Below are 26678 nucleotides of genomic sequence, written 5' to 3'. Positions count from 1 at the left end.
TTTAGGGGGAAGGTTAGTAAGGTCCTTCTCAGGAGGGACTGGACAGAATTTCTTTTTCTTTTTCTTTTCTTTTCTTTTCTTTTCTTTTTTTTTTTTTTTTTTTTTTTTTGAGACGGAGTCTTGCTCTGTCGTCCCGGCTAGAGTGCAGTGGCGCGATCTCGGCTCACTGCAAGCTCCGCCTCCCGAGTTCACGCCATTCTCCTGCCTCAGCCTCCCGAGTAGCTGGGACTACAGGCGCCCGCCACCACGCCCGGCTAATTTTTTTTGTATCTTTAGTAGAGACGGAGTTTCACCGTGTTAGCCAGGATGGTCTCGGTCTCCTGACCTTGTGATCCGCCCGCCTCGGCCTCCGAAAGTGCTGGGATTACAGACGTGAGCCACCGCGCACGGCCAGAATTTCTAAACTAGGCGAATCATAGGTTTATTCAGTGGAACTTAGCTGCTGGAACATGAAGATCTGCGCAGAGTTGCTGGATCCGTTTGGCTTTGGTCTTATCTTGGATCATCGGGTCTGAGTAAGCTGGTGTTAAAACAATTTGAGCTTAGTGTGGTATGGCAGGGTTTGTAGACTCGTCCTGTGCTGTAAGTCACAGGGCTTTTGCAACTTCTGTGTTTGTTCATTTCTCAATTTGCCCTCTTTCCTCACCAACAGAACTGCCCAAGAAATCAACTTACAGTATAGCTACTGGAACTTAGCTCCGAAAAGGTCCTCTGCAAATCTAGAACACTTGTTTTTTTTTGTTTTTTTTTTTTTTTTCCAAATAAGAAAGTTGAAGAGCAAAACGACGTGTCTAACGTCACACATTGAGCTTTAAAGACAGATGGGATCTGGCATGCGTTTGTCAGTTAACAGTGCTAGCACAAATACAACTCTTGTTAAAATCGTAAGGATTTTATGTCGTGAGACACTCAGGACTCACCTGATCTCGGTGTTCAGTTGTGCGTAGTTTTTGATTTGCGCCTCGCCCTTGGGCAAGTGCAGAATCCTGGGGTTATACAAAGCTCATCACAGTTAACCCCTTTGTCCCAGTCCGCAGAATGAGAGCTCAGAGCCCGGCCATGGGAGGCTCGGTTATATAGGCAGGAAAATCAAGGAACCCAGGTATGAGCAGGGGCGTTTGTGGCGCGGAGAGAGCTCCTATCCCTGCCGTCCATCTACGTCTCAGGCTTGGCCCCTGGCGTGCAGAAAACCGCATCTCCCGAAATCCCAGAACGTAAACGTCACCCAGGTACTCGCTCTCTTGTCATTCTCCGGGATGTAACAGACTCGGGGTCTCTTCACGGATCACCGAAACCGCCTTCTCCGAGGCCTCCAGGGTGACTAAAGAGAGGGTGGGTGTTCTGTGTTCTCCCGCCGGTGTGTTCCTCTTCACGTCCAGCCGCTTGTGTCCGTGCCCGCTAGGGTCTCGGGAGTTTTTATAGGCACAGGATGGGGGCGTGGCGGGCCAGGGTGGTCTTGGGAAATGCAACATTTGGCCGCGGAGGAAGGAGTGCCCGTCCTCACCTAGATCCATGGGCACAGGCCCGGCGGCGGAGCCCTGCTCCCCTCCCTTATCAGTACCGCGGTTAGTGCTCTGCTTTATGGCCGCAGCAATCTCAGACACTTTCGGAGCGTGTTTTTTTTTCTTGTCCTTTCGCTCCCCTTTTCGGGCGCCAGCTTTCAAACCAGACCAAAGGTGTGCTTTTCCCCCATTATCTCCCAGCCTTCTTTCCTTTTCGCCTCTACTCAAGACTGTGTCCACAATTAAGCTCTCAGGAGGAGGAGGCCTCCAGCTGCCTCAAGGAAGGGCATTTCTCGCAGTGCAAAGTGCGGAAGAGGGGAGCCATACCGACTGAAGTATTAACCAGAGTCGGTTTGCATAGAGGCTGCAATGGATAGAATTTCAGAAGTGAGGCGGAAAGACAGGCCAGCCCTGCGAAAGATGGATTGGAGAGAGGTGAGAATCTAGTTCAAAAGCCGGGAGAAGGAACAGGACATTAGCACAATAGTCTAGGCAGAGAGCTGGACCACCTGTAATACGGCAAGGGGGTTGGTTGAGATTTCCTTTATTCAGTTATTCGAAATGTATCTATTGAGCTATTTATTAGTCCCTGGGTACTGTGGGTGTTCCTGCGTATTCAACCACCTTGTCGACGCTGCAGGATGCGGCCCCATTACCCAGGACCCAAAGAACTTCCAAAAATGAATCCCGAGGAACAGCTGTTTCTCTACTGGAGAAGTGGGCAGCCAGGCGGAAACACGCAGGGAAATAGTTCTCTTTGGGACAGAAGGCATCAACCTCGTAAGACCCAGCGATCAGCAGAGCTCCCGGAGAGTGTTTCTTAATCTAAAGGTCATGAGTCGGGCTGCAAAGTTGTCTTGTCGTGCGTAAAATACCAATGGACTTATACCTGTTTCATCGAGAAGGAATACAATGCGAACACAAAGACTGTAATGGAACGTATTTCTCTAAAGTGTCCTTTTCAGATAGAAATACGAGAGCGTTTTCCTGAGTTTTCTAAAAATGGGGTGGGGTAGGGATCAAATACTCACTTCTGGGAAACATGGGCGAATTCAGTGGGAATCGTGCTAGAAGTTACGAGCAGAGGAGCCTGGGTGGGGACTTATACTGGCCTTGACGGCCCGTGGAAAGGAACTGGCGGCAATTCCTTCCGTTTTCCGTCAATTTCTTCACGGGTCGCTCAGAAGCTACGGAAGCAAAGTAGAAAGGAGTGATAGGGACAGGCCACAGTACCGGCGGACGGTGATGGCGTTGCGTTTAAAAGGGTGGTCACTGAAACCCTTTGTCGTGAAACACTGAAGCAGGTGACATTTGAACTTTCCTTCCGCAGAATTGTATTTTAACTGAAATTTCCAGGTTAGAAGAAATTTGCCGAGGATCGTAACCAAGTTAGCAAAGATCGTAGGTTCTTTCCAACTCCAAGAACTTCAGAAAAGTTTCTTTGGTGATTGGAATAACGTTCGCCTTTAAACTTCTCAAGAGAGGTAGGGTCCGTTCCGCCGGCGGGGCCGGTTAGCTCAGTTGGTCAGAGCGTGGTGCTAATAACGCCAAGGTCGCGGGTTCGATCCCCGTACGGGCCACAGGCTTTTCTAATGTTTATTTCACGGGCCACAGGCTTTTCTAATGTTTATTTCACAGTAACAATTATGTGTAGCCACGTCAAAGCTCACAAGAGAAAAAGAATGTAAATGTGTGTGAACCCAGCAATCTACACAGACTTCTAATGCTTGTCTCACAGTAGCAACTGTGGGCAGTGATACAGAAAGTCACAAGAGAACTCACGAAAGTAAATGTATTTGTACCCAGTAACCTTGATAGGACGTAGTTCGCTGAATCGTAGGGTTGCGTTTGCAGTTCAGTGTTCCTGCAAGAGCAGATGACGAAGAGAGCTAAGATTCCAGAAAGAAATTGAAATCCGGGAGGAACGTGAAAAACAGAGACGAAAACAGGGAAATAAGGACCTGGGCTTTTCATTCTTTTACGATTTCCAAAGTGTACAAATCTTTCTCTGTCGTGACTAACTCCTGATATGGGCTTTCCTAACTGTGCATCTGCTTACTTCCCGCAGACCTGTCCTTGGCTTGTGCAGGGTAAGTAAAGCCTCTCAAGAACTCCCATTTTTCATTTCTATTTCCTCTCTTTTAGCTTCCCTCACTCAACTCTAGAGATACTGGACTTAAGGAAATGTCCCCATAGAACGCTGAGCCTTTCACCTCCTCTTTGCTCGTCTCACGGCTTTGTTAGACACGAAACCATCTTCTGGAAAATGTCTTCCCTGACACCTCTCCTACTTTTCTGAGTTTGGGTTGCTTTCCTCCTAGCACTCACGGAGATCCAGGTACGCATTTGTTTTAGCGGCATTCACCATGTTGGGATTGTCTGTTGCTTGGCCATCTTCTCCATGAGACCATAAGCTTCTTGGGGGTAGGATGCTTATTGCTAAATACTTTCAAAAGTCTGCATGAGCCAATGAAGAGTGAAGGATAGGTGTGCAGGCATGATGGAAAGAGTGTCTTGTGGTCCAAATGGGCTTCACGGGTCTGTAGAATCCATGCTATCGCAACATAGTGCATTTTGGTCAGACGAACAATAGGCTACACTATATGGTGATTGGCTCCATTTCACTGAACGTACCTCTAAGGCTCTGAGTGGCTCTATATGCCCCCCAGGACTGGATAGTGGTAAAGGACAGAGCATGCGCAATAGATCCAAAGTCAGGCAAGGTCTGAAATGTTTAACTTTGCTGAGGCTGAGAGACAGGAATGAACCCTCTTCCGCGATGGGAATTTCTACTCCACTGATCCATAGTAAATAAAACAGCGAGCCAATGCACCTCAAACCTCTATTTTCTATTACATTAATGTGATTGGTTTTGACATTTTCAAAATTCAAGTGATCACAATGATTTAGAACTAATGTTTACAAAACTATAATTTAGGAAATCCTTAGCTGTAAGCAGACACACCTACACAGAATAAAGAGAGTGATATGCCCTTTACTTCAGTGTCATTTATAACACTGGGGTAATAATACTTGGGGAAGCTGAAAAACTATATTGACCGACTTACGTAAAAATTAAGAAACATTCAGTATAATTTCTAGCACATAGTGCTGAAAACCTCCTTGTATGTGGAATATTGTTCACCTTTAAGGAAAATGCTTTCAAGGTCTGAGGAGAGATAGTAACGCATTTCTGTTGCTACTGGCTGTTTTGCTCATTTAGTTGTAGCAACAAGCTTCTGTGAACATAAAAATGAAATAACGCTTAAAAAAACAAAATAGATGGTGGAGGAACACAATAGGGATGCAAAGTAAGGTATGATTTTCTAGGCAAAAATTGAGCTGTACAAAATAATGTAGTAAAGGATTTGTGCCTGATTCTTTTTTGTATCCCCTTTGAAGCTTATTTAGCTTATATTCCAAGGCCTCAATTGTCATCCTTCTCCCAACAAGACTGTTTCTCTGTACCACGAACATTCTGGTGAAATTCTCTGCTTAAGCATCTTGACCTCTTGAGCACTCATCTTTGTACTGAGACCCCGATATATGCCCAAATGATGCCCTTCCATAGGAGGGTTTCTTGTTTTGCCCAAAGAGCAATCAATTTTTCAAGCAATTTAGGGCTCTTTCCTCACTCGGGGTCTATGTGAAACCTTAGAGGGAAGCCTGTTCTTTCCAGGAAGAGAATCCCGGTGGGTTCTAACCTCAACCTGTAAATCCACTAAGCAAGCTCCTACTGAACACCTATGATGCAAGCTCAATCCAAGAGGCCAGCACTCTGCAAGGGGAAGGCAACCAAAGCAATAGGTAATGCTTACTGAGCAGTTCTTATTGATCAGATCCCTCTCTAGGTGCTGGGATCCAGCCAGAGAATCCCACAGTCCTCATTTCCTACGTGAAGAAAGATGATTGAAGGAAGGAGCAGGAGTGGGGAGTGGGGAGGGGGTGGAGGGTGGGTAAAGGATGTCTTCAAGGTGACAACTTCTCAGATTCCGCTCCTAAAAGCTTCTGAATGGGCCATCTCCACACTCCCAAGTCCCTTACTGCCTGTGGGTTCCTTCCCAGTAGACGTTGTCACATAACATCTTATGTATTTTTCTTGTTTGCTTCTGATCTGTTTCTCTTCACCCCTATCAACTAGAAACTAGCTTCGCAAAGGTGAAGAATATATGCGTTTTTTCACTGTTGAATGGCTGTACCCCGAACAGTCTCTTAACAAGATACGTGCTCGAGAAATACATGTAGGATAAAAGAATAAATGACTTCACCCACTCACCTCATAATTACAATTGGGTAACCTTGAGAGCAGAAAGCTCGACAAAAAATTTCCTGTTTCTTCCATCAGCTAGTGAGAAAGACCAATTATATGATATAGCTTGCAGTTTCTTCTGTAATCTATATCCCTTTACCACTCATTTTACTCAAACCACTGACAAGCCAAAAAACAAACAAACAACAACAAAAAAACTCCAAAAAACCGAAATCACTTTTCCATTCTAAGCTAATGTTGAGTCAGTCTTCAAACTGTTATCTCATAGCATTTGCATTTCATTATTTAGTGCACCCATTTTGTTTCCCTCAACTGAAATAGCAGCAAAAACTGTATCCTCTCTGATGTTCAAACTCAAAACCTTTAGATTATGAGATTGATGTGTGGCCTGCTGCAGAAAGAGGGCGGTTCTCACCCAAGAATTGACATCCCACGTGCTATTTTCCCAAGCACTGCTGCTTTATCAGTTCCTAACTTTCAAAGAACACAATCAATGGTGCTTGGAAATCACTCTTTATCAGCCAATCCTGCACCCAAAGAATTTTATCCTCAGGACAGGTGGAATCTACCCATTTCTAGTATTCATCTAACAAGACGACCATCTTGAGGCAAGAGGCCAAGAACAATTGTACCTGTTTTGCTGACTTTTTCCCTCTTGTGGCCCAGTGATCTGACTTCTCCCTCCTTCAGAGATCTTAATCACTCTTACACCTCCTATGGTGTCCTTTTTTGAAAAGACACACAGGACATGTTCAGTCCATAATAGTTCACTGACTGACCAACTGAACGAATGAAGGAATGAAAAAATAGTCTTTAAAGGTGTCTCCTGTCCATACTACTGTGTCTTACTCTCTATCTCCTCTTGCATCTACACGACTGGAGACAATCCTGCTACAAAAAGTGTAAAGCAAATCTTGTATGCCATTAATTATACTAAGAGATTTATTGAATTTACTTCATGTAGTCCAACAGAGTTTCACCAACAAAACTATGTGTCCTAATCTGGACTTTCTAGAAGTAATGGAACCTCAGATAAGTTTTGTTTCCAAGGTGCCAGAGCTGCTAAGTGTCAAAGCTTGAACTGAGGAGAAGATGTTTTAGATTTTAAAACGTGATTCTTTCTCTGCTCCAGTTCACAATCTTACTCCCTACTCCTCTCCACAGCACCCCATTCATTCACACACCAAATATCTCATTCCCCAAATCCCCTTCACTTACCTTTTGGGCTTTGTTTCCAAGTCAACTTTTGACACATTTTTCTCCTTCAAACACCACATCCAGTGATTTGTGAAATAGTAAACATTATTCCTGCACAACATTTTTGAACCTGTCAATTCCTTTCCATTGATTCAGTACACATTCACAGGGAAGATGCTCTGTGCCAGACACTGTGGTAAGTTCAGGAGATTCTAAAGATTCAAGCAGCCCAGACCTCAAGAGAAGGCAGGACAAATATGGAGAAGGGAAGATCCACGTCCAGTTTTACGATTTCAGTCTCCGTGTCATGTCATTTACAGCTAAATAACCCTTTCAAAAATGTCAGTTTCAATATATCACTCTTTTGCACCCTGAACATTCCTGATTTCCTAGTTATAGCATGATCTTGTTTTTCTTTTATTTTTTTTCTCTTCTTTCTACCCAAATTGTGATTTTGCTGTAGAAAGTTGATTGATTAGATCCATTGCTGTATGGATGTTGTTCGGGTCTCAAATGTGTTTACTGATTTATTGTCTACTGGATCTATCAGTTACTGAGAGGGGACTGTTAACGTCTGCAAATGTAATTGGATTTTTCTATTTTTATCTGGATTATCCAATTTTGCTTACGAGTTTTGAAGCCCTGTGTCCTTATATGCATTTGGGACATTATTTCTCTGGTGTGTTGGCACCTCTAATTATGTAACAGCCCCCTTTATCCCTGGAAGTTTTCTACAATTTAAAATCTGGTTTGTCTGATTTGAATATATCCACCACAGCTTTCTTTGAGTAATGCCTAAATGACATATCTTTTCCCATTCTTTACTTTCAATATGCTATATAACTTTTAATCTCACATATAAGTATATTACTAGTGACTTTCCTGTAGTCAGCATATTCATTTATAATACATTCTGACAATTTCTGGTTTTCAATTCATTGTTTTAGATCATTTACATTTAATGTTTTTATAGATAAGTTTTTAGGTAGATCTATTGTTTTTCTTTCTGAGATGGAGTCTTGCTCTTGCCACCCAGGCTGGAGTGCCATGGTGCAATCTCCCCTCACTGCAACCTCTGCCTCCCAGGTTCAAGTGATTCTCCTGTCTCAGCCTCCCAAGTAGCTGGGATTACAGGCACCCGGCTTCATGCCTGGCTAATTTTTTGTATTTTTAGTAGAGACAGGGTTTCACCATGCTGGCCAGGCTGGTCTCAAACTCCTGACATCAGGTGATCCAGCCACCTCGGCCTCCCAAAGTGCTGGGATTACAGGCGTGAGACGCCGTGCCCAGCCGATAGATCTACTTTTTAATAATTTATTAATCATTTGTTCCCCTTGTCTTAATTCTTCTATGTTCTTCTTCCTAGTTTATTTTGGTTTATTTAAATCTGGTTCCTAAGTGGTCTAGGGATCACCATATACATATATAACCTTTCACAGTATACGTAGAATCAATATTTTACCATTCAAGTTGAATATAGAAACTTCATCAGCAGTTAGGCCCTTTACCTTTACCCTTTTATGTTATGTATGTAGCACATCTAGATACAATGGCAACTGCATCAGATAAAGTTACAATTTTTGCTTTCAATCATGAAACATACCTTAAGGAACTCAAGAGAAGAATAATAGTCTGTAATGTCTACCCAGACATTTTCTATTTCGGCTTTCGTTCCTTCACTGATGGTGTCCTGTCTCTTTCTGGTATCATTTTTCTCATCTTAAATCGTTGCTAATTCTTGTCCAGCAGTTCTACCAGCAATGAATTCTCTCAGTTTACCTTCCTGTGAGAATGTATTTATTTACCTTTAGTCTGAAAGATATTTTTGCTCTACATAGCATTCTGGGTTGACAGGTCTTTTCTTTTGGTATTTAGTAAATGTTTCCTTGGGCCCCTATGGTTTCTGATGAGAAGTCCACAGTCATTCAAGTGGCAGTTTCCCTTTTATTTTCATTTGGCTGCCTTCAAGATTTTTATGGTTTTCCTTAGTTTTCAGCAGTTTGATTATGATGTGTCTGGGTATGGATTTCTTTGGGTTTAACCTACTTGACATTTATTGAACTTCTAAAGTGTTTTGATAAATTTGATATGTTTTCAGCCATTAATTCTTCGGAGTTTTCTTTCTGGAGGACCTCTTTCTCTTCTTCCTGCAGGATTACAATGATGTGTTAGATTTTTCTTATTTTTCTGTTTGTCCGGGAGGCTCTGTTCATTTGCAAAAGCACTCCTTTTTCTCTATTGTTCAGGTTAGGTTGGTATTTTTGTTCTGTTTTCAAGTTCATTGACTTTATTCTGAGTGTCTCAATTTTGTTATTGAAATAACCCATTGAAGTTTTTTTTCTCCTAATAGTTTTGATGAATACATTTTTTAATTTTTAAGTTTAAAATCAGTGTTTAGAGCTTCCAGATACTTGCTAAGACTTCCCAACTTTCCATTCACTTCAAGAGTGTTATCCTTTCATTCATGGAGCATTGTTGTAATAACTGCTTAAAAGTATGTGTCAGATGATTGTAACATCTGTGTCTTCTCAGTATTGTTATTCGAGGATTCTCTTTGCCAAGTGAATTAAGATTGCCCTGGTTCTTCATATGCTGAATATTTTGGGGTTGTACTTTGCATTATGTGATGAGACACTGTGTCTTGTTGAAATCTTAAGGATAATATTGCTATTTTTGTTTTTGCAGGCATGTGATTGCCTTGTGTTCAAGTTCCAATAACCAGCCAGCCTTGTGTGTTGTAGTTTCAAAGTCGATTCTATTTTCAAAGCCTTAACACTGCTATTCAGAGACTCTGGAGTATGTGCAACCCAGTGGCCAGTGAGGACTGGAAAGTAGGCTATCACTTAGTTCGATTCTCAGGCTCTTTTTAGATAAGTTGTCTTTGATCAGAGCCACTTATTCACAGCTCACAGGCGCATCCAGGAGTTCACATACAACTTGACAGGTTTGCTCTCCACAGTGTCTTTCCTGGTTACTTGGCAACTCCTAGTTTCGGTCTCCCGATCAGAAAGCTGGGGCTGTATTTACCTGAGTGGCTCTGCCCTGCGCTTTCCATAATTATGCTGCATTTAGGACCAAGCTGCAGGAGGAAACAGGGAGAATAAGTGCAACTGGATATGTCCCTTTGTATCACAGCTCCTCAAAGAAACAGAAAACTAATTACACATCGATAGATCTATACTATACCACATACCAGTAGAATCTTAGTCAAGCCCGTATTGTTGCTGCCCTTACATAATGAGCCAAAGAAGTGTCCAGGCTGCTACTGAGATGAGTGTCTAACTTACTGTTTTCTGAGATCAGTGTCTAACACATATTTTTTTCCACTGTAACCTGGAGACCTGAGGTCCGACTAGTGAAACCTGGAGAATGTGGGCATCAATCCCACTACCTCTCACATGCTAAGCGAGCACTCCACCACTTGAGCTACTTCTTCATCTCACAGCATCTTTTTTCATCCTTAGTGGGCAGTCTAGAACACACGCGACTTCAAGGCCTTCACCGCGAAAGCAGGGCTCCACTAAGAGCAGATCTTCTCATTGATGGCCCAGGGCAAGAGTGCAGTGGGTACTTATTCTCTGTGAGGAGGGAGGAGAAAAGGGAACAAGGAGAAAGTCACAAAGGGAAAACTCTGGTGTTGCCAAAATGTCAAGTTTCACATATTCCGAGACGGAAAATGACATGTCCCACAGAAGGACCCTGCCCAGCTAATGTGTCACAGATATCTCAGGAAGCTTAAATGATTTTTTTAAAAGAAAAGAGATGGCATTGTCACTTGTTTCTTGTAGCTGAGGCTGTGGGATGATGCAGATTTCTGGAAGGCAAAGAGCTCCTGCTTTTTCCACACCGAGGGACTTTCAGGAATGAGGCCAGGGTGCTGAGCACTACACCAGGAAATCCCTGGAGAGTGTTTTTCTTACTTACATCTGAGACATGTGTTGTCTTCTTGCTAAGGTGTGTCATGTAAAAGTTACATATCCAACTGCATGGCAGAACAATAATAACAAAAAAATGCAGATAAGAGGCATAAAGAATAAGAGACAAAGATCATATCAGAGTGAAAGAATAAAGAAAACACATTCAGCAATGCAGAGAAAGAGTGGACATAGGGTGGAGAAAACCTAGGGTAGGTATAGGGTGGAATGTTTGTAGGAATTCCTGTGTAAAGAAATATGCCTGTTCAATTTAAGTGGAGTGTGTGTGTGTGTGTGTGTGTGTGTGTGTGTGTAAAATATACACGGAGGGAAGTAGTGATTGAAAAGCCTGGATGCTTGGAGATATGTTGGGAGAATATTATAAAAGCTAAAGACTCATTGAAAAAATTCCAGGTAGAAAAGCAGCATTTTAGGGAAAGGTTTTTAGTTTTAAATGTCAAAGAACTTGAAAATGGAAAAACTGGATCTGGGGAGAAAGAGAAAGAAGTCATAAAGATATTAAAGGATTGAGATTTATCCACATTGACTGTGTCAGTTCCTGAGGTGAACAGCATGAGTCTTTCTGCAGCTTCAATCCCCTTCACACTTCATGGTGAAGAAAACATCCTCCATGAACATCATAGCATGGATAAAGAAGGAGGTGAGTAAAACAGAAGAAAAAGATTCTGCAGAGTTTATGCAGGAAGGATCTACAGTATTTGTCAAGACATTGGGTGGAGAGATTTGAGGGAGAGGAGACAAAGGCACTGGCAAGTCTTGAGCCCGGTGTGGCAGACACAGAAGAGATTTTGAATTCATATCTGATCGATGCAAGAATAAATCCACTCATTTATCTGTATTTGGTAAATGAATGAATGTTACATGAGTGAGCTGGTGTGAAGAAAATAGATGATAAGACTATGTGCTAGACTAAAGCAAGAAGAGCTTGTGATTTTTTTCATTGAGAAAGAAATCTGCTTCTCATATCTGGTTTCCCTCTTTAAAGTTATGTGATCTAAGGAAAATGGTTTAACTGCTCTGAGCTTCAGTGTCATCTGTAACACTAGGGTAATAATACTTGGGGAAGCTGAAAAACTATATCGACCAACTTACATAAAAATTAATAAACAGTCAGTATAGTTTCTAGCACATAGAGCTGAAAAATTCTTGAACGTGGAGTATTGTTCACCTTTAAGGAAAATGTTCTGAAGGTCTAAGGAGAGAGATCAGTGCAGTTTTGTTGCCATTGGCTGATTTGCTCATTTGTTTTGTAGCAATAAGCTTCTGTGATGATAAAAATGAAATAAAGTTTAAAAAGTAAAATAGATGGTGGAGAAACACAATAGGGATGCATAGTAAGGTATGATTTTCTAGGCAAAATGGATTTGTACAAAAGAATGTAGTAGTAAAGGATTTGTGCCTGATTCTTGTTGTATTATTTTTGAGTCTCATTTAGCCTGTATTCTAATTCCCCAATTGTTGTGATCCTTCTCCCAACAAGATTATTTCTTTGCACCGTGAACATTCTGGTCAGATTCTCTGCTTAACCATCTTGACCACGTGAGCACTCATCTTTGTACTGAGACCCTGATATAGGCCCAAATGATGCCCTTCCATAGTGGCGCTTCTTGCTTTGCCCAAAGAGCATTCAATTTTTCAAGCCATTTAGGGCTCTTTCCTCACCCGGGGTCTATATGAAACCTTAGAGGGAAGCCTGTTCTCTCCAGGAAGAGAATCCCGGTGAGTTCTAACCTCAACCTGTAAATCCACTAAGCAAGTTCCTACTGAACACGTATGATGCAAGCTCAATCCAAGAGGCCAGGGAGAAGGCAACCAAAGCAGTAGGTAATGCTTACTGAGCAGTTCCTATTGCCCAGATCCATCTCTAGGTGCTGAGATCCAGCCGGAGAATCCTAGAGTCCTCATTTCCCATGTAAAGAAAGACTATTGGAAGAAAGGGAAGCTAAATGATATCTTCAAGGTGACAACTTCCCTGATTCTTCTCCTGAAAAGTGAATGTGTCACCTCCACACTGCCGAGTCCTTTACTGCCTAATGACTCCCTCCCAGTAGATAATATCACATGACTTCTTGTTTATTTTTCTTTTTTGCTTCTGTCTCTTTCTCCCCACTCCCCCCAACATTGACGTAGTATCACAAAGGTGAGAATATCTGTATTTTATTCACTGCGAATTGCTATACCCAAAACAGTCTCTTAACAAGATATGTGTTGAGAACTATCGGTTGGACGATTAAAAGAATAAAAGACTTTACCCACCCCACCCCATAATTATGTTTGGATGACCTTCAGAGCAGGCAATTGGAAGAGAAATTTCCCCTGCCTCCCCTGTCAGCTAGAGAGGTAGACATAAGACATAGCTTGCAGTTTCTGGTGTAATTTATATGCCTTCACCACGCCTTGTACTCAAGCGACTGAGAAGCCAAAAGAAGGAAAAAATAAATAAAGACAGACAGAGAAAGGAAAGGAAAGAAGGAAGGAAGGAAGGAAGGAAAGAAGGAAGGAAGGAAGCAAGGAAGAAAGAAAGAAAGAAAGAAAGAAAGAAAGAAAGAAAGAAAGAAAGAAAGAAAGAGAAAAAGAAAGAAAGAAAAGAAAAGAAAACTCACTTTTAAATTTTAAGCTAATATTTGGTCTGTCTTGAAATCATTATCTCATAGCATTTGTGTTCCATTATTTATCACACCTATTTCATTTCTCTTAATGGAAATAGCGGCATAAGCTGTGCCTTGTCTCATGTTCAAACTCAGGACCTTCAGAATACGAGATTGACAGGTGGCCTGCTGCTCTAAGAGAGCAACTGTTCCTAAGAGGTGACATCCAGATTATTAAATCTCATTTCCCACGCACTGCTGCTTTATCAATTCCTAGCTTTTAAAGAACACAATCAATGCTACTTGGAAATCACTCCTTATCAGTCAATGCTGCACTGGAAGAATTCCCCACTCAGGACAGGTGGAGTCCACCCGTTTCCAGTATTCACATAATGATAGGACCTTCTGGCTTGAGGGACTAGACACAATTGTACCTGTCTTGCTGCTTTTTTTCCTCTTGTGGCCCAGTCATCTAGCTTTTCCCTTCTTCAGAGATCTTAGTCATTCTTCCTTTCCGTAGTCTCCTTTGTTGATAAGAAACAGAGGTAGTGCTCAATTCATGATAGTTCATTGAGTGACCAACTGAATGAATGAAGGAAGAAATAGCCTTCCAAGGTGTCTGCCATTCATACTACTCTTACTGTGTATCTACACTTGCATCTCTATGACTGGAGACATTCATTCAACAAAAAATACAAACTAAACTTTTAATCATATCCTCCCTGTTTTTCCTCATATTTTTGTGCCGTGAATTATACTAGGAGACTTAGGGAGTTTACTTGATGTAGTCTGATTGACTTTTGCCAACAAAATTATGCCTTAGTATGCACTTTTTAGAAGTAATAGAGAATCAGATAGGCTAAGTGCGTTTTTGTTGTTGTTGTTTGTTGTTTGTTTGTTCTGTGAGACGGAGTCTCGCTCTGTCTCCCAGGCTGGAGTGCAGTGGCCCGATCTGGGCTCACTGCAAGCTCCGCCTCCCAGGTTCAGGCCATTCTCCTGCCTCAGCCTCCCGAGTAGCTGGGACTACAGGCACCCGCCACCATGCCCGGCTAATTTTTTTGTATTTTTTCAGTAGAGACAGGGTTTCACCGTGTTAGCCAGAATGGTCTCTATCTCTTGACCTCCTGATCCGCCCGCCTCGGCCTCCCAAAGTGCTGGGATTACAGGCGTGAGCCACCGTGCCCGGTCAAGTGTTTTTTTTTTTTTTTTTTTTTTTTTAAATGCCAAAGCTGCTAAGTGGGAAAGCCCGAATTGAGAAGCAGATATTTTTAGATTTTGCATGTGATTTTTTTCCCTCTGCTCCAGCTCACGGTTATTCTGCCCATTCTTTTGCACTTTAGCTCATTCACTCATACACCAAATATCTAATTCCAGACCTCCTCTTTACTTACCTTTTGGGCTTAACTTTTTAAAAATTTTTTTTAAAAATTTTTTTGAGTTGGAGTCTCACTCTGTTGCCCAGGCTGCAGTGTAGTGGCACAATCTTGGCTCACTGCAACCTCTGCCTCCTGGGTTCAAGTGATTCTTCTGCCTCAGCCTCCCGAGTAGCTAGGACTACAGGTGCCCCGCTAGTTTTTGAATTTTTAGTAGAGACGGGGTTCCACCATGTTGGCCAGGCTGGTCTCAAACTCCTGACCTCAGGTGATCTGCCTGCCTTGGTCTCCCAAAGTGCTGGGATTACAGGTGCGAGCCACTGCGCCCGGCCTGGGCTTAACTTTTATATTTTATTTTATTTTATTTTATTTTATTTTATTTATTTTATTTTATTTTATTTCATTTCATTTCATTTCATTTTAAGACAAGGTGTCACTTTACTGCCAGGGCACTGGTGTGATCTCTGTTCACTGCAACCTCCGCCTCCCGGGTTCCAGTGATGCTCCCACCTCAGCCTCCTGAGTAGCTGGAACTACAGATGCATACCACCACACCCGGCTAATTTTTGTTTTTTTTTGTAGAGACAGGATTTCACTGGGTTGCCCAGGCTGGTCTCAAACTCCTGGCGTCAAGGGATCTGCCCACCTCGGCCTCCCAAAGTGCTGGGATTACAGAAATGAGCCACCACGTCTGGCCTTGGGCTTACCTTTCAAGTCAACTTTGATTCATTGTCTTCCATCAAACACCACATTCAATGATTTGCCAAATAATGAACATTATTCTTGCACAACTCTTTTGAATCTATCAATTACTTTCCACTCATTTAGTACATATTCACTGGGGAGATGCTCTGTGCCAGACACTGTAGTAGGATCAGGTAATTCAGAGGAAGTATAGACACCCTAGACCTCAAAAGAAAACAAGATAAATATAGATGAGGGAAGATCCACCTCCAGATTCACCATTTTCAGTCTTTCTGTCATTTCCAGCTAAATAATGCCTTCAAAACTCTTTCAAAATAACTAAGTCACTATTTCAAACTCTTTCAATAATAGCACCCTTCTATATGATGGACCACTCTTAATTTCCTGGTTATAACATGATCTTACTTTTCTTTTAATTTTTGTCTTTGCTTTCTGGCTAAATTTTTATTTTGCGTTATGAAGTTGATCAGATCCATTGGTGGATGGTGTGGTTCAGTTCTCCAATATGTTGGCTGATTTGTTGTCTACTAAGTCTACCAATGACTGAGAGAGGAGTTTTAGTGTCTTCAACTAAAATTGGATATTTCTATTTTTACCTGGCTTATCTAATTTTGTTTATGAGTTTTGAAAATCTGTGTCCTCATATACATTTGGAACAGTATTCCCTGGAGAATGGACATTCGTAATTATCTAGCAGCCTTCATTATTCCTGAAAAGTTTCTCTGCTTTCAAATCTACTTTGTCTGATTTTAATGTATACACCACAGCTGTCTTTGATTAATGCTTGCATGAGGTATCTTTCCCACTCTTTTCCTTCAATCTGCTATATAACTTTTATTCTGATATATAAGTGTATTGCAGGTGGCTTTCTTACAGTCAGCATATTTACTTTTAATACATTCTGATGATCTCTAGTTTTTAATTAAGGATTTAGATCATTTACGTGTAATGTTAATATAGATAAGTTTTTAGATAGATCTATTTAATAATGTATTAACCTTTGTTCCCTTTGTTTTAATTCTTCTATGTTCCTCTGTCTATCTTGTTTTGGTTTATTTCAATCTGGTTAGTAAGTGGTCTAGGGATTACCATATACGTATATAACTTTTCACAGTATACTTAGAATCAATATTTTACCATTCAAGTTGAATATAGAAACTTCATCAAGAGTTAGGCCCATTACACTTACCCTTTTATCTTATCTATGTAGTACATCTCGATACAATGACAACTGCTTCTGATAAAGTTACAATTTTGGCTTTCAATCATCAAACATACCTTAAGGAACTCAGGAGAAGAAGAACAGTCTGTTATGTCTACCCAGACATTTTCTATTTCTGCTTTCGTTCCTTCATTGACGATGTTCTAAGTTTCCTTCTGGTATCACTTTTCTTATCTCAAATCTTTGCTAATTCTTTTCCAGCATTCTTGCTAAGAATGAGAATGTATTGACTTACCTTCCAATGAGAATGCATTTATTTGCCTTTATGTCTGAAAGATACTTTTGCTCCACATAGCATTCTGGGTTGATAGGTCTTTTTCTTTTGTTACTTACTGAACATTATGACATTTTTTTCTGGCCGCTATGGTTCCTGATGAGAAATCTACACTCATTCATATGGTAGTTTCTTTTTCATTTTCCTTTGACTGCTTTCAAGATTGTTTTGTACTTTCCTCGTTTTCAGCAGTTTGATTATGATACGTCTTGAAATGGGTTGGGTTTCTTTGGGTTTATCCTGCTTGACCTTTGCTGAACTTTAAAAACCTGGTTTATATCTTTTGACAAATTTGATACATTTTCAGCCATTAATTCTTCAAAGTTTTATCCCACAAAGACCTCTTTGTCCTCTTCTTTTCAGATTACAATAATGTGAATGTTAGATTTGCTATTTTTTAATTTGTCCCTGAGCCTCTGTTCATTTACAGAAATACTCCTTTCTCTCTATAGCTCAGATTATGTAGGTATTCTTGTTCTGTTTTCAAGTTCGTTGACTTTTTCTTAGTCATCTGCATTCTGTTATCGAGATCATCCAGTTAAGCTTTTTATTTCCCCTAAGAGTTTTGGTTAATACATTTTTTTAAATTCTTAAGCTTAAAATTGGTGTTTATATATTCCAGATATTTGCTGAGACTTTCCAACTTTCCATTCACTTCACGAATGTTATCCCCTAATTCTAGGAGCATTGTTATCATAACTGCTCCACTGTATGCGTCAGATGATTTTGACATCTGTGTCCTCTCAGTATTGTTATTCGAGGAGTCTCTTTGCCATGTGAATGAAGATCTCCCTGTTTTTTTCATAATGCCGAAGATTTTGGGGCTTGTAACCTGGACTTCTTTGGATTATGTGATGAGACACTGTGTTTTGTTGAAATCTTAAGAATAATATTGCTATTTTTGTTTTTGCAGGCACAAAATTGCCTTGTATTCAAGTTCCAAGTACCAACCAGCCTTCCACGTGTTGTTGTTTCAAAGATAACTCTATTTGCAAAGCCTTTACGCCACTGTTCAGAGATTTCCGGAGTGTGTGCAACTTCAGTGAGGACTGGAAAGTGGGCCATTGCGCAGTTCAGCTCTCAGGCTCTTTGTAGGTAAGTTGTTTGGGATTAGAGCCACTTATTCACAGCTGGCAGGTGTGTCCACAAGCTCATGAACAACTTTATGGGTTTGCTTTCTACAGTATCTGTCCAGGCACATTCTAGTTACTTGACACATCCTGGTTTCAGTCCCCTGAGCAGAAAGCCGAGGCTGTGTTTACCCAGGTGGCTCTGCCCTGCACATTTCACGATTGTCTGAGGTTTAGGACCAAGCTGCAGGCAGAAACAGGGAGAAAAGAGCAGTTGTATATGTCCCTTGGTTTCACAGCTCCTTGAGGAAACAGCAAATGAATTACACAGTAGATCTACACTATACTGAATGCCAGGAGGGAGCCATCACCAGGCCTGTATTGTTGCTGCTCCTATGTCTTGAACCAAAGCAGCATCCTGCTCTCAGACACTAACTTGGGTTTGGATACTTGAGTGTTTGGAGACCCAAGGTCCAAATAATAAAGCTTGGAGAATGTGGGCATCGATCCCACTACCTCTTGCATGCTAAGCAAGCGCTCTACCGCTTGAGCTAATTCCCCACGTCAGGGGAGCTTTCTTGATCTTTAGTGGGTGTCCTGGAACACAGGGGATTTCAAGGCCTTCAGCGGGAAAGCAGGGCTCTACTAAGAGCAGGTCTTCTCACTGATGGCCCAGGGCAAGGCGCAGTGGCTACTCATTCTCTGCAAAGAAGGAGGAGAAAGGGAACAAGGAGAAAGTCACAAAGGGAAAACTCGTGCTGCCAAAATGTCAAGTTTAGGGTATTCCGGGACAGAAAAAGGCACATCCCAGCAAAGGAGGACATGTCTAGACCTGCCCAGCTAAAGTGTCAGAGATTTTAAAAAAATGATTAAATGATTAAAAATGATTAAATGATTGTGTGTGTGTGTGTGTGTGTGTGTGTGTGTGTGTGTTTGTGTGTGTTTATAAAAGTGGGATGGAATTATCACTTTTCCTTGTAGCTGAGACTGTCTGGGGGTTGTGAGATGGTCCAGATTTCTGGAAGGCAAAAAGCTCCTGCTGTTTTCGTAACTAGGCCATTCCACCAATGAGGCCAGCGTGCTGACCACTCCCATAGGAAACCCCTGGAGAGTGCTTCTTTCACTTACATCTGAGATATGAGTTGCCTCCTTGCTAAGGTGTGTCATGTACAAGTTACATGTCCAACTATATTTCAGAACAACAACAACAAAATTACAGAGCAGAGCCATAAAGAATAAGAGACAAGATCGTATCAGAGTGTAAGAATATGTAAAATATAGTGTAAGAATCAAAATTGAGCTATGCAGAGAAGGAGTGGACATATGGTGGAGAAAACCGGGCTGTTTGTAAGAATTCTTGTGTAAAGAAATAAACCTGTTCAATTTAAGTGGAGAGTGTGTGTGTGTGTGTGTGTGTGTGTGTGTGAAATACACATGGAGGGAAGCAGTGATTGAAAAGCCTGGCCACTTGGAGATATATTGGGAGAGTTTTATGAAAAATCCCATGACTAACTGAAAATATCCCAGGCAGAATGCTTAAATAATTAAAGCAACATGTTAGAGAAAGGTGTTTAGTTTTGAATGTCAGAGCTTGAACATGAGAAAACAGGAACTGGGGAGAAAGGGAAAGAAGTCATAAAGATATTAAAGGATTGAGGTTTACCCACATTTATCATGTCAGCACCTGAGGTGGACAGCAGAAGTCTTTCTGCAGAGCTAGTGCCCACGACACTTCATGCTGCAGAACACATCCTCCGTAAACACTGTAGCATGAATGATGACAGAGGTGAAAGAAAAGGAAGAAAAGATTCTGGAGACGTTGTACAGGAAGGATCTACTTTATTTGTCAAGATATTGGGTGGAGAGATTTGAGGGAGAGGAGACAAAGACACTGGGACGTCTTGAGCCTAGTGTGGTAGACACAAAAGAGATTCTGAATTAATATCTGATGAATGAATCCGCTCATTTATTTGTATTTGTTATGTGAATGAATGTTACATGAATGACCTGGTGTGGAGAAAACAGATGGCGAGACTATGTGCTAGGGTAAAGCAAGAGCTCAAGTTTTTTTGTTTTTGTTTTTTAATTTAGAAAGAAATCTGCTTTTCATATCTGGTTTTCCTGTTTAAAGCTACGTGATTTGAGGAAAATGGTTTAACTCCTCTGAGCTTTACTGTCATCTACAAAATTTAGATAATGTTACTGAGGGAAGCTGAAAAGTCGTATCAACCAACTTATATAAAGAATAATAAACATTCAGTTCCATTTCTAATGCATACTGCTGAAAAGTCCTTGTATGTGGAATATTGTTCACCTTTAAGGAATCTGCTCTCAAGAGCTGATGAGGGACTATTTAAGTGCAGTTCTGTTGTCACTGGCTGTTGTGCTCATTTAGTTGGAACCAGCAAGTCTCTGTGAACATAAAAATAAAATAAAGATTGTGGAGGAATAGAATATAAACACATAGTAAGGTGAGATTTGCACAACAGAATATAGTAAAGATTTGTGCCTGATTCTTTTTGCATTCTCTTTGAATCATTTTTAGCCTTTATTCTAAGTCCCCAGTTACGGTTATCCTTCTCCCAGCAAGATTGTTTCTCTTCACCACGGATATTCTGATGAGGCTCTCTGCTTAACCATCTAGACCTCCTGAACACTCTGTTTGTCCTGATAACCTGATTTATGCTCAAATGATGCTCTTCCACAGCAGGGCTTCCTGCTTTGCCCAAAGAACATTCAATTTCTGAAGCCATTTAGGGCTGTTTCCTCACCCAGTATCTATGTGAAACCTTAGAGGGAAGCCTATTCTTTCCAAGAAGAGAACCCTGCTGGGTTCTACCCTCAATCTGTAAATCCACTGGGGTAACTGGGATTAGCTCAGATTAGCAACTGGGGTTAGCTCAGCTACTCCAGAGCTTGCTCTCTGGGAACGGATGGTGCTGCTACTTCCCATAAAGGCTGACTAAAAAGAGGCATCTGCAGGCAGGAGAAAGCGCTATGGCAGTTGCTGGAAGATTGCTTCTGACCATTGGCTATCTCTCTGACCTGATGGGAGAAGGGTGACAAAAATTGGACACTTGAAAAACAGGCCAAAAAAAAAAAAAAAAATCAAAGGAATTTTAAAAGAACCATGCACAAATTCTTAATTAGATTCTTTTATCCAAATCCATTTTGTCTGGAAAATTATGCCTTAGTATGTATCTGTATTCTATTCCTCCATAATCTATTTTATTTTATTTTATTTTATTATTTTATTTTATTTTATTTTAATGTTCACAAGAAGCTGGATGCTAGCTACCAAATGAGCAAATCAGCTACGACAACAGAACTGCCCTAAAGTCTCCCATCAGATATTGATGTAGTCAAGACCCTCATGAGTGCCTATGATACAAATTCAGTGTGAGAGGCCAGCTTTCCACAAGGAGAAGGCAACCAAAGCGGTAGCTAATACTGAGCAGTTCCTATTGCCCAGATCCATCTCTAGGTGCTGAGATCCAGCCAGAGAATCCCACAGTCCTCATTTTTCATATGAAGAAACATGTGAGGGATTGACAACCCCAGTCCTCATGTATCATCAGTTTTCCAAGGAAGCCAACTAGCCTTCTGGGCAAAAAGCTCTCCTAACCCCCAGTTGCCTTGATAGGTAAAAGTACTCTTATGACAGTGTTAGAAAAACACGGGCACAAGTGTTCCAGCAAGATGGCTAGAAGAAGGCAAGGCTAAAGTTGTCAAGGTGACAGAGTCCCTGATTGTCCTCCTGAAAGCTGAATGTGCCACCTCCACATTCCCAAACCCTTTACTGCCTAGCGATTCCCTCACAGTAGACATCGTCAAATCACTTCTTACATATTTTTGATTGTTTCCTGTCTGTTTCTCCCCACTCCTCCCAAGTATGATGTAGTTTCGCAATAGTAGGAATATTTGTGCTGAATACACTTTCACCCCACTCCTCCCAAGTAGGATGTAGTTTCACAGTGGTAGGAATGTTTGCGTTGTATTCACTCTTGACCCCAGTCTCTTAACAAGATATGTGTTCAAGAAATATTTGTTGGATGATTAAAAGAATAAATGACTTCACCCATCCACCCAATAATTAGTGTGAGGTGACCCTGAGAGCGGGAAGTTGGAAGAGAAATTTCCCCTGCTTCCTGTGTCAGCTAGAAAGACCAATTATATGACATAGCTTGTAGTTTCTGGTGTAATCTACTCTTCTGTTTTCACCACTCATTTTACTCAAACCACTGGAAAGTCGAAAAAACAAGAAAACCTAAATTATATTTCCATTTTCTACAAATATTGGGTCAGTCTTCAAATCCTTATCTGCTATAGCATTTGCGTTGCGTTCCGATATTTAGTGTATCCAACTTCTTTGGCAGAAGTGATGCCCTCTCTGAGGCTTGAACTCAGGACCTTCAGATTATGAGACTGACGCGCTGCCAGCTGCGCTAAGAGGGCTTGCTGTTGAGCTCGGGCAACATCCATTTTGTCGAAGTGTATTTCCCACCTACGTTACGGTTTCAGCTTTCAAAAACTACAATCAATCCTACTTGAAAATTACTCTGTATCAATCAACGCTGCACTAGGAAGATTCCATACCCACGACCAGAGGAGTCTACGCCTTTCCAGTATTTCATAGGACCGTCTGGGTTCTGCGTTACCAGGATCAATTGTACCTGTCTTTTGCTGCTCTTTTTCCCTTTTCCTTCCCTCAGAAACCTTAGTCACTCTTACACTTTCCATAGTCTCCTCTGTTGAAAAGAGACAGGAGGTTCTCAGTTCATGATAGTTCACTGACCACCTGGATAAATGAATGAAGAAATAGCCATCAAACCTGTCTCTTGATCATACTACTGTCTTCCTTCATATCTCCACTTGCATCTACATGACTGAAGACATTGCCGCTACAAAAAAAAACACAAAATACTTATAATGGCACCCTCTTTGTTTTTTACCCCTTTGTTTTTTCTTGTGTGCTATTAAGTATACTACGAGATTTCTTGCGTTTACGTAGTCCAGTTGAATTTCGCTAACAAAACGATGTATCCTAATGTGCACTTTCTAGATGTACTGGAGGCTCAGATAATTATTGTTTCTAAGGTGCCAGAGATGCTAGGTGGCAAAGCCTGAACTGACAAGCACATTTATTTTAGATTCCAAAAGGTGAGTCTTTTCTCTGCTCCTGCTCATTATCTCTCTGCCTGTTTTTCTCCACAGTAGTCCATTCATTCATATACCACATATCTAATTCTCAACCTCCTCCTGGGCCTAGATTTCCAAGTCAACTTTGACTCATTGTCCTCCTTCAAACACCACATTCAGTGATTTGCCAAATACTGAACATTATTCTTGCAGGTCTCTTCTGAATCCGTCAGTTCCTTTCTACTCATTCAGTACATATTTGCTGGAGAGATGCTCTGTGCCAGACACTGTAGTAGGCCCAGGAATTTCAGGAGACATTTGGCCAGCCCAGACCTCAAGAAAAAGCAGGATACATATGGACAAGGAAAGATTCACTTACAGATTCGCCGTTATCGGTCTTCCTGCTATTTAAGTAACTGTTTCAGAAATATCAGTTTCAATAATGTCACTTTTCTGCACTCTGACCATTCGTGATTTCCTACTTATAATATGATCTTGCTTTTCTTTGATTTTTTTGGCTCGCCTTTCTACATAAATTGTGATTTTGCTTTATAAAGTCTATTAGATCCATTGGTGGATGGTGTTGTTCTGTTCTCTAAAATGTTTGCTGATTTGTTTTCTCCTGAATCTATCAATTACTGAGAGAGGAGTGTTAACGTCTGCAACTGTAATTGGATTTTTCTATTTTCTTTCTGGTTTATCCATTTTGTTCATAAGTTTTGAAGCTCTGTGGCCAGAAACAGACATATTTAGGACAGTTGTGTCCCTTCGGTGAATAGACGCTTTATAATTATATAACATCTGTCTTTCTATCTGAGGGCCTCATCTCGTGTTAGGCAAGTGAGTGAGATAACCTCTACACTACACTGAGGAAACCCTCAGACTTCCTAAATCTAAGATAGATATATCTAAGATATTCAAGGTATGTATATATCTTAGATTTCTAAGATATATAGGATATATTTATGTTAGATTTATATATATATATATATACACATACTTATATTCAAGTCTTTTTAAGTTACATCATATAGAACTCACATATTCACATCACATAAGAAAACAGCAAAAATCACAAAAGTATTACAGACAAGAACCATGGGGATTAAAAGATCAGTTTGTAGTAAAGGGATAAATATGAACCTTGAAGGATGCAGATGAGGAAGAATGCACATGAGTTTGAAGGAACAGGCATAGATGTAGGAATTCCTGTGTGAGGAAACATGCCTGTTCACTTGGGATGTGTAGTGCACAAGTGCATATGTGCCTGCTTGTGTGTGTGCCTGTTTATAAAATGAAAGGAAGTAGTGATTGAAATGCCTGTGCACATGGAGATAATGATTGGGAAAACATTGAGACTTAAGAACCCTTGAAAAAATTGCAGACAGCTTACATAACCAAATTAACATTTAAGAAAAAGGTGTTTAGTGTTGGATGTCAAAGAGCTTGGGAACAGGAAGACTGTAATTGAAGAGAAATGGAAAGAAGTTATAAATAGATTAAAGAATTGAGGTTTATTCACATTTATTCCGTCAGCTTCTGAAGTGAACAGCATGAGTCTTTCCGTAGCTCCAGTGCCCATTATACTTTGTGGTGCAGACTACGTCCTCCATAAACGTGGTAGAATGGGCAAGAGAAACATGAGTGAAAGGTAAGAAAAACATTCTGGAGAGGCTGTGCAGGAAAGATCTATGGTATTTGTCAAGACATTGGTGTAAACATTTGAGGGAGAAGTCTTGACACTGTGGCACACAAGAGATCCTGAATTAATGTCTGATGAATGGAACAATAAATCTAGACATTTCTAAGTATTTGTCAAATGAATAGAAGGATGAACAGATGAGCTGGTGTGGAGAAAAACAGATGATGAGACTATGTGCTAAATTACAGAATGAACAAGAGTTTGTGTTTTCTTATTGTGGTAAAATATACTTAACCCATTTTACATTTAAAATTCTAAGTGTTCAATTTAGTGGCATTACGTACATTTACAATGTGAGCAACTATCACCACTACCCATTTCCAGAAGTTTCTCAGCATCCCAAACAGCAACTCTGTACCCATTAAACAATAACTCCACATTTCCCTCTCCCCAACAACCTCTATTCTTTCTGTCTACATGAATTTGCCTATTCAAGATGTCTAAAGTAGAATCACAAAACATGTTTTTAAATTGGGAAAAAATAAGCTTTCTGTATTTGGTTTTGCTCTTTACAGCTACATATTCGCAACTCAGGGGTGCACTCGGTGAGTTGACAAACCACTTGTGGGTTTGCTTTCCACACTCTCAGCAGGACTTCCCGGTGACTCGGAACTCCACTTTACAGCGCCCTGACCAGAAAGAAAGCTGGGGTTTTACTCATCCTGCTCTGCCCTGCATTTTCCAGAGCTGTGCTGCATTTTGGCATTTTGGGTCAAGCTGCAGGAAGGAGAGAAAAGGAACAATTGGGTATATCCCACCCTCTTGGGATCTCCTCTTTCCTCTGAATAAAGAGAAAACAACTTAGAAAATGGGTACTGTCCACTGAACGTTTTAGGGGCTATTATTAGCACTGTTTCTTTATGCCCATAGGTCTTTTACCAGTGAAGCATTCAAGATGGCTGGTACTTCCTCGTTTTCTTCGACAGGTGACTAATGAAGCCGTTCTCCACGTTGTACTGTATGGACATGCGGCCCCAAGTGACAACATCGATCCCACTACCTCTCACATGCTAAGCGAGTACTCTACCACTTGCGCTCACTCGTCACCTACCGCAAAACTTTCTGCCCTTTCCTTTATTCAGGAGTAGATGTGCGCGACTACCCACCATTTCTTGCGTCTCGGAACAAAGGAAATGTCTCGATTATTAGTGGGGAACCAGGACTCGACCTAAGGCGAGTCTACTCAAAAATGGCCAAGGGCAAGGGCATGATGGCTATTCCTCTGCGAGGGAGAGGGGAAAACGTAACCAGGAGAAAGTGGACACTGGAAAAGTCTGGTGCTGTAAGATTTCACGTTCCAGATTTTCAGGGAGAGAAGCGAGCACGTCCCAGCTGGGGAGCGCCCGCCCAGAGCGGCCTGCTAATTTGGCACAGCTATCCCAGGATGACGATCTTTCTTTTAAAAGAGGCGGGATTATCACTTGTTCCTTGCAGCTCTGGACTCCCGGGAAGAAGCGGCCACTCCCGGTCAGATTCTGGGAGACCAGAGAAACCTGTTGTTTCCGTTGAGTTTCAAATAGAGGACCTTCCATGTGTTAGGCCAGCGTGGTAACGACTACACCATAGAAACCCTTTGCATCACAGGCTTTTTATATTTTGAGATGAGCATTAAATACTGGTTTTTACAATTTTTTTAGTTGACAAGTACAAAATGTATATATTTATGATGTACAACATGATGTTTTCATATATGCATACATT

The 26678-nt window shown here is 41.2% G+C and overlaps 1 long non-coding RNA gene and 3 other non-coding genes across 4 annotated transcripts, besides 2 other annotated features; 2 read left to right on the top strand and 2 right to left on the bottom strand.

Annotated features, from left to right (window-relative positions):
- Nucleotides 902-1403: an enhancer, noted in NCBI's record as "H3K4me1 hESC enhancer chr6:26778725-26779226 (GRCh37/hg19 assembly coordinates)". NCBI's record gives its function as "activates a minimal SCP1, AML or CMV promoter by ChIP-STARR-seq in primed H9 embryonic stem cells {active_cell/tissue: H9 hESC(primed)}" and the evidence as "EXISTENCE:reporter gene assay evidence [ECO:0000049][PMID:30033119]".
- TRI-AAT7-1 (tRNA-Ile (anticodon AAT) 7-1) lies at nucleotides 3009-3082 on the top strand. The gene has a single exon. It is a non-coding gene; the product is annotated as a tRNA-Ile (tRNA).
- Nucleotides 3083-3532: 450 nt separating this feature from the next.
- On the top strand, nucleotides 3533-25990 carry LOC105374991 (uncharacterized). The gene is made up of 3 exons (XR_926636.2): nucleotides 3533-3840; nucleotides 17980-18161; nucleotides 25848-25990. It is a non-coding gene; the product is annotated as an uncharacterized LOC105374991 (long non-coding RNA).
- Nucleotides 18309-19508: an enhancer, noted in NCBI's record as "MED14-independent group 3 enhancer chr6:26704795-26705994 (GRCh37/hg19 assembly coordinates)". NCBI's record gives its function as "activates an origin of replication core promoter dependent on BRD2, BRD4, P300/CBP and CDK7 cofactors, and independent of MED14, by STARR-seq in HCT116 cells {active_cell/tissue: HCT116}" and the evidence as "EXISTENCE:reporter gene assay evidence [ECO:0000049][PMID:35650434]".
- TRNAA-AGC (transfer RNA alanine (anticodon AGC)) lies at nucleotides 18625-18697 on the bottom strand. The gene has a single exon. It is a non-coding gene; the product is annotated as a tRNA-Ala (tRNA).
- On the bottom strand, nucleotides 22519-22591 carry TRM-CAT5-1 (tRNA-Met (anticodon CAT) 5-1). The gene has a single exon. It is a non-coding gene; the product is annotated as a tRNA-Met (tRNA).
- Nucleotides 25991-26678: the final 688 nt, after the last annotated feature.

This window comes from Homo sapiens, chromosome 6 (assembly GCF_000001405.40).
Source record: "Homo sapiens chromosome 6, GRCh38.p14 Primary Assembly".
Classification (NCBI taxonomy): domain Eukaryota; kingdom Metazoa; phylum Chordata; class Mammalia; order Primates; family Hominidae; genus Homo; species Homo sapiens.
Note: the sequence above shows the minus strand (reverse complement) of the source record. Positions and strands in the feature narration are given on the sequence as shown.